Raw genomic sequence first — 8,927 nt, forward strand, 5'->3', positions numbered from 1 at the left:
GATATTACCAAGTGAAAGAAGCCAGTTTGAAAAGCTATGTCGTATAGTATAACAAATACATGACCTTCTGGAAAAGGCAAAACTTTAGAGACAGTAAATAGATAAGCGGTTATCAGAGGATCGGAGGGAGGAAGGAATGAATACGCAGAGCACACAGGAATTTTAAGGTAGGAACTATTCTGTAGGATACTATAATTGCGGATATATTTCATAAACATTTGTCCAAACCCATGTAACATGTACAACACCAAGAGAAACTCTTATATAAATTATGGACTTTGGGTGATTATGAAGTAACAATGTAGGTTTATCAACTGTAACAAATGTAGCACTCCAGTTGAGGATATTGATAGTGGGAGTGGCTATGCAACACAGCGATATTTCATTGATATCACAGGGCGTCAACACTATATATTATAAATACTGGAGTGATATTTCATTGATATCACAGGATGTAAACACTGGATATTATAAATATCAGCAATATTTCGTTGATATCAGAGGGGGTAAAAACTGGATACTATAAATGGCGACATTTCATTGATATCACAGGATATAAACATTGGATACTGGAAATATCACAGCCATATTTTGTTTATATCACAGGGTTAAACGCTGGACATTATAAATATCACAGCAGTATTCCATTGATATCACAGGGTGTAAACACTGGATGCTGTAAGTATCACAACAAGATTTCATTCATATCACAGGGTGTAAACATTGGATACTATAAATATCACAGTGATATTTCATTGATATCACAGGGTGTAAACACTGGACATTATAAATATAACAGCGATATTTCATTGATATCACAGGGTGTAAACAATGGATATTATAAATATCACAGTGATATTTCATTGATGTCACAGGGTGTAAACACTGTGTATAAATAAACACTGGATATTATAAATATCACAGCAATACTTCATCAATATCGCAGTGTGTGAACACTGGATATTAGAAATCTCACAGTGAAATTTCATGAGTATCACAGTGTAAGCACTGCATGTAAACACTAGATATTACAAATATGTGATACTTCATTAATATCACAGTGTATAAACACTGGATATTATAAATATCACAGTGACATTTCTTAATATCACAGTGTGTAAACACTGGCTATTAGAAATGTCATGCAATATTTTATTAATATCACAGTGTGTAAACACTGGATACTAGAAATATCTCAGCGATAGTTTATTAATATTACAGTGTGTACACACTGGATGTTAGAAATATCACAGTGATATTTCAGGAATATCACAGTGTGTACACACTGGATATAAGAAATATTGCAGCAATATTTCATTGTTATCACAGTGTGTACACACTGGATATAAGAAATATTGCTGAAATATTTCATTGTTATCACAGTGTGTACACACTGGATATTAGAAATATCTCAGTGATGTTGATATCACAGTGTGTAAACACTGGATATTAGAAATATCACTGTGATATTTCATTAATATGGTGTGTAAACACTGGATATTAGAAATATCACAGTGATATTTCATTAATATCACAGTGTAAACACTGGATATTAGTAATATTATGGACAGAAATGTATGTATAATTTTTGTAACTTTATCTCAATTTTACAGTCATCCTGAAACTGCACTTTAAAAAGTCTTTGAAAAATAAAATAGAAAAAGTGTGCGTTTTGAATCCATTTGATAATAAATATATATACATGTCTAAATCTGTCTATGTATATCACAACTTTGATGCAGAAATTATATTGACTTAATCCAATCTATAGAAAAATGAATAAATGCCTATAAAAATACATAAATTGTGGTAGTTGAGCTTAAGGAAATTAGAGCTGTTAGGCTGCCTATCTTCTTGATTAATCACGACAAATCGATGTACATGCTTACGTGACACTGTTGTTAAACTTGTACAAAGGGAACTCAAGGCCAAGAGCTTAAGATATATAATAGGCATGTAGGAGACCTTTGAAACAGTCTTCATAAAACTCAGTGATGTGTGTGTATGTGTCTACTTTCTAATTTCAAAAAGACATGGCTTAAACATATGCCAGTCATTGTGAGTATTTTGTGTTTATAAATCTGAGCATTTTGAGTAAAGCCAGAGGTTTCAGGGTTAACTATTTGCCTAAAAGATTTTGTTGGAAAAGAGTGCAATTTCTGTTGTTGGAAGAAAATGTGCACTATTGCTTCTTTGCTGAACATGTCCCAGCCTCATGTCAATATAGAAGGGCTAGAATGTGCCTGGTGTTCAGAATGGCTGTTTGCCAATTTAAAAGGTTTCTGAAAAGAAGAGAGTCTATTGTCTACTCTTTCAAATTACAGGAAAATGTATTGTTTGTGGAGCACGGTTCACAGCCAAAAAAAAAAAAAAAAAAAAGATTCTTGCTCACATAAATTTTGTCTTTATTTTTAACCTTTCGTTTTCTCTGTGAGCCATCATTCTGTGCTTATGGGGGAAAAATTATTCTGGCCAGAAGATGAGCTACCACTTAAGATGGCCAGTCACTACTAGTGGTACAAACGGCGCTTCAACAGCATTCTCATTTTCAGTTAGTCAATACAAGAACCGGAAAATAGTTCAGATCTGACTAGGGACTTAAAAAAAACAGATGAGAAGAAGATACAAACAAAAATATAAGGCATCAAACACCACAAATTACTTTTTGAGGTTAAAAAATAGGTAGTATTCAACAATGCTTAAGAGCTTAGACTTTGTTATCAAAATATTTGCAAGAGTGGAAGCAGCTGCAGCAGAAACAGTTATACACTAATATGCAAATTTTCTTTTTAAAAATGATGAGGAACATGAAAAATCTCTACTATTGAAAACATTTTCTTCAAATATTACATTTCTTTCAGAAACCTTTGATTATGTTTCAAATTAAAGAATTATTTCACTAAAATCTAGTACTCACATGTTACATTCATACATGAAATTCTAATGCATGATTATATGAAATGTAAGCTTAGAATTTTATAAAGTGATAATGGGTTTGCATTAATGTGTGTAAACCAGTAAAAAGGTACCTTTTTGATTTTACTATGAGCACAGAATTTAGATTTTGGTCATATCCACAATAAATTTGCCAGTGGAAAATAGGTATTGCTCTAGTCCATTCTCACACTGCTATGAAGAAATACATGAGATTGGGTAATTTGTAAAGAAAAGAGGTTTAATTGACTCACAGTTCCGCGTGACTGTGGAGACTTCATGAAACTTATGATCATAACAGAAGGCACCTCTTCATGAGAGAGAGAATGAGAACTGAGCAAAAGGGGAAGCTTTTTATAAAACCATCAGATCTTGTGAGAACTCACTCACTATCATGAGAACCCTATGGGGGAAACTGTCACCATGATTCAATTATCTCCACCTGGTCTCTCCCATGACACAAGGGGATTATGGGAACTACAGTTCAAAATGAGATTTGAATGGGGACACAGCCAAACCATATCATTCCATATCATATCATTCCACCCCTGGTGCCTCCAAAATCTCACATCCTCACAGTCAAAACATAACTTTGCTTTTCCAACAGTCCCCTACAGTCTTAGCTCATTCCAGCATTAACAAAAATGTCCAAGTCCAAAGTGTCATCTGAGACAAGGCAACTCCCTTCTACCTATGGGTCTATGAAAGTAACTAAAAGCAGATTAGTTACTTTCTAGATACAATGGGTATACAGGTATTGGGAAAATACATCTGTTCCACCCGGGAGAAATTGGCCAAAACAAAGGGGTATAGGACACATGCAAGTCTGAAATCCAATAGGGCAGTCATTAAACCTTCAAGTTCCAAAATGATCTCCTTTGATTGCATGTCTCAATCCAGGTAATGTTGATGCAAGAGGTGGGCTCCCATGCCTTGGGCAGCCCTGCCCCTGTGGCTTGCAGAGTAGAGACCCTTCCCAGATGCTTTCACAGGCTAGTGTTGCGTGTCAGTGACTTTTCCAGGCATATGGTACCAGTTGTCAGTGGATCTACCATTCTGGGGTCTGGAGGATGGTGGCCCTCTTCTCACAGCTCCACTAGGCAGTGCCCTAGTGGAGACTCTGGGTGGGGCTCCAACCCCACATTTCCCTTCCACGCTTCCCTAGCAGAGGTTCTTCACGAGGGTGTCACCCTTACAGCACACCTCTGCCTGGACATCTAGTCATTTCCATACATCCTCTGAAATCTAGTTGGAGGTTGCCAAACCTCAATTCTTGACTTCTGTGCACCCACAGGCCCATCACCACATGTAAGCCACAAAGGCTTCAGGCTTGAACCTTCTGAAGCAATGGCCTGAGCTGTAGGTTGGCCCATTTTAACCACACCTGGAATGCAGGACACTAAGTCCCAAGACTGCACAAAGCAGCAAGGCCCTGGACCTGGCCCATGATACCATTTTTCCTCCTGGGACTTTGGGCCTATGATGGGAGGGGCTTCTGTGAAGATCTCTGACATGCCCTGGAGACACTTGCCCCATTGTCTTGGCAATTAACATTTGGCTTCTCGTTACTTACACAAATTTCTGAAGCAGGCTTGAATTTCTCCTCAGAAAATGGTTTTTCTCTTGCATCATCAGGCTGCAGATTTTCCAAACTTTTATGCTCTCCTTCCCTTTTAAGTGTAAGTTCCAGTTCCAAACCATGTATTTGTGAATACATAAAACTGAATGCTTTTAACAGTACCAAAGTCAGCTCTTGAATGTTTTGCTCCTTAGAAATTTCCACCACCAGATACCTTAAATCATCTCTTTCAAGTTCAGAGTTCCTCAGATCTCCAGGACAGGGGTAAAATGCTACCAGTCTCTTTGCTAAAACATAACAAGAGTCACCTTTATTCCACTTCCCAACAAGTTACTCATTTTCATCTGAGACTACCTCTTTCCTGACTTCATTATCTAAATTACACTATCAGCATTTTGCTCAAAGCCATTCAACAAGTCTCTAGGAAGTTCCAAACTTTCTCACATCTTCTTGTCATCCTATAAATTCTTCAAAATGTTCCAACCTCTGCCTGTTACAATTCAGAGACGAATCCATACATCAAAACTGAACTCATTTTTGACAAAGTTACCAAGAACATAAACTGGGGAAAGGACAGTATCTTCAATAAATGGTGCTGGGAAAACTGGATATTCATATATAGAAGAATCAAGTTAGAACTTTATATACAAAAATAATATCAAGATATATTAAAGACATAAGTCTAAGACTTCAAATTATGAAACTACTAAAAGAAAACTTTGGAGAAACTCTCCAGGACATTGGACTGGGCAAAGACTTTTTGAGTAATACCCAACAAACACAGGCAACCAAAGCAAACATGATCTAATGAGATCCTATCAAGTTATAAAGTTTCTGAATAGCAAAGGAAAAAAATCAACAAAGTGAAGAGACAACCCACAGAATGGAAGAAAATATTTGCAAATTCCCTATCTGACAAGGGATTAATAACCAAAATATACAAGAAGCTCAAACAAGTCCAGAGGAAACAATCTAATAATTCAGTTAAAAGTAGGCAAAAGATCTTAATAGAAATTTCTCAAAAGAGGACATACAAATCGCAAGAGATATATGAAAAGATGCTTAACATTATTGATCATTAGAGAAATATGTGAATCACAACCACAGTGAAGTATCATCTCATCCCAGTTAAAATGGGTTTTATCTAAAATCAGACAATAACAAATGCTTTCAAAGATGTGGAGACAAGGGAATCCTTGTACACTGTTGGTGGGAATGTAAATTAGTACAAACACCATGGAGAACAGTTTGGAGGTTCCTCAAAAAAGGAAAAATAGAGCTTCTGTAACATTCAGCAATCCCACTCCTATGGATATACCCCAAAGAAAGGAAATTGGTCTGTCAAAGAGATACGTGCACTCACATGTATATTGCAGCACTATTCACCATAGCCAAGATCTGGAAGCAACAAAAGTGTCCATCAACAGATAAATGGATAAAGAAACTGCGCTACCTATACACAATGGAGTACTATTCAGCCATAAAAAGAATGAGATCCTGTCATTTGCAACAATGTGGATGGAACTGGTGGTCATTATGTTAAGTGAAATAAGGCAGGCACAGAAAGGAAAACTTCACATGTTCTCACTTATTTGTGGTAGCTAAAAATTAAAATTACTTAACTCATGGAAGTAGAGAGTGGAAGGATGATCACCAGAGGCTGAGATGGTTGGTGAGGGGTGACGGGAGGTGAGGATGGTTAATGGGTACAAAAACAATAGTTTGAAAGAATGATTAAGGCCTACTATTTGCTAGCACAACAGGGTGTCTATAGTCAAAACTAATTTAATTGTGCATTTAAAAATATCTAAAAGACTATAATTGGATTGTTTGTAACAAAAAGGATAAGTGCTTGAGCTGATGGATACCCCATTTACCCAGTTGTGATTATTATGCATTGCATGCCTTTATCAAAATGTCTCATGTAACTCTTAAGTATATATGCCTATAATATAGTCCCAAAATTTAAAAATAAAAAATAAAAAGCAAATAAAATATCTCCAAAAATGATAACATTTTTTAGATATGAAAATGTTTTAATATAAAAGTATAAAAAAGGCTTCAGAAAGATGAAAGCAATCATAAGGCACTCATATATAAAGGAAATTTATTTCATTCTTTCGTTTGATGTTAAAACCTCTAGTAAATTATCACTTTATTGTTTCAATAAAATATAAAAATGCATATTAACTCTAACATACGTTGGGTTTTGTTTTGTTTTTTGACAGTTTGAAGCCAACAGGTTCAAGGAAGAATCTGCTTACAAGCTCCCACAAGCTCTTGACAGAATGCATCTCTGCTTTGTTGTTGGTTGTAGAAATGAAGTCTCTGTTTTCGTTCTGTCTGTCACAAACATCTCACTGTGCTCCTGGAGGTCACTTGTAGTTCCTTGACACATGACTCTCTCCATACGCCCTGTAAGAACATGTTAAGAGATCTGGGAAATTATTTTACTCCATAAAATAACACCTTGGTAGATATTGAGTAAAGTTATGATGTTACTTGCTTTTTAGCACACTTTATCAATGTGTGTTACACTAGAGTGCCTTCTGTAAACAGCCTGAGGGAGCTTAGAAGCAGATTTATTTAGCACTAGGTACATGACTAGATAGCACTAGATAAAGAACCCTGGGTGTTTAGGTTACAGAGGTCGGGTGTTAGGAAAGCAGTAATAAAAGGGGCTAACTGTGTACCTGAACACTTCTGTTATACCATGGATTATTTGAACCTTAATCCATGCAACATTATCAATTATGAAATGACTGTGACATGAATAAAGTTGTTTATTAATGAACTTCATGCTACCCACTTTCAGGGAGTAAACAATGAATAAATCTTTTATGATTATCTTGTCCAATGGAAACGTAATTATTCAGTTGCTCAGATTAAATACCATGGAGGCATTTCTGACTCTTCTCTCAAAATCACTCATCTCCCTGGGCATGGTGGCTCATGCCTATAATCCCAGCACTTTGGGAAGTGGATCACTTGACTCCGGGATTTTGAGACCTGCCTGGATAACAAGGAGAAACCCCAACTCTACAAAAAATACAAAAATTAGTTGGATGTAGTGGTGCGTGCCTGTAGTCCCAGATACGTAGGAGGCTGAGGTGGGAGGATCACTTGAATCCAGGAGGTTGAGGCTGCAGTGAGCTGCGATTGTGCCACTGCCCTCCAGTCTGGATGACAGAGTGAGACCATGTCTTTAAAAAAAAATACTAATCTAAGACTGTTTTTTCAAAATACAATCGACAATCGTATCACTTCACACAATCTCCTCATTTGCTACCACACGAGCGCATACCATCAAATCTCTTGCTTAGATTATTATTATATCTTCTAACCACCTGCCCCTATCCCTACCCTTGCCCTTCCTTTCACTGTCTGTTTGCAACACACCAGCCAGGTAATCCTTTTAAAACATAAGTCACATGTTAACACTTCTGTGCTCAAAAGCCTCTAACGCTTTCCATTATACTCTGAGCAAAGCACTGACAAATTCCTTATAACTCCTACAAGCCTTCCATTAATTATCTATTGCTGCATAAATTTAGTAGGTTTAAAATGACACATATTTATTATCTCAAAATTCCTATGCACCATGTGTTTAGACCATTTAGACACAAGTTATCTGGGTTCTTCACTTCAGGATTTTGTCAGGCTGAAACCCTAGTGCTGACCAGAGTGGTAGTCTTATCAGAGACTTGACTAGGGAAGAATCTGCTTACAGGCTCCCACAAGCTCTTGACAGAATGTATCTCTGCTTTGTTGTTGGTTGTAGAAATAAAGTCTCTGTTTTCGTTCTGTCTGTCACAAACATCTCACTGTGCTCCTGAAGGTCACTTGTAGTTCCTTGACACATGACTCTCTCCATACGCCCTGTAAGAACATGTTTGTTTATCTTTTTAAAGCCAACAATGAAGATGGTGAATCTTTAGTGTCTGCTAGCAAAATTATACACATGCACACACACACATACATAAACATACACACACACACACACACACTTAATGAAAGTGTAAAAATCAGAGTGGCGTCTCTATTTTGCCATCTTCTAATAGTGAAAATCAAATTACAGGTTCTCCTCAAACTCAAAGGGAGGGGATTATACAGGGCATGAATATGGAAGTCAACAGAATCTATCCAGCAGCAAGCTTCTACATGATCCTCCTACTCACCACTTCTCTGAATTTATCTCCTGCCACTCTCCATCTGGCCCACTTTGCCCTGGATAGATTGGCCTCCTTGTTCTTTGATTCACAAAGGGAATATCTGCTTCTTCATATTCACCCTTCTCACAGGTGGTAACCCTCTTTCTTGGGAAAGAAATCCATAAGACGGGCAGCTAGACAACCTTTAAGTCTGTCGTAAAATGTAAGCTTATCAGGAAGAACATCCTTGATTATCTTTTGAA

The 8,927-nt window shown here is 36.8% G+C and overlaps 1 annotated feature.

Annotated features, from left to right (window-relative positions):
* Window positions 8,131-8,331: a silencer, noted in NCBI's record as "peak1435 fragment used in MPRA reporter construct". NCBI's record gives its function as "represses an SCP1 promoter by STARR-seq MPRAs in K562 erythroleukemia cells {active_cell/tissue: K562}" and the evidence as "EXISTENCE:reporter gene assay evidence [ECO:0000049][PMID:32103011]".

The sequence above is a fragment of the Homo sapiens genome, chromosome 11 (genome assembly GCF_000001405.40).
Source record: "Homo sapiens chromosome 11, GRCh38.p14 Primary Assembly".
NCBI classification, from domain to species: domain Eukaryota; kingdom Metazoa; phylum Chordata; class Mammalia; order Primates; family Hominidae; genus Homo; species Homo sapiens.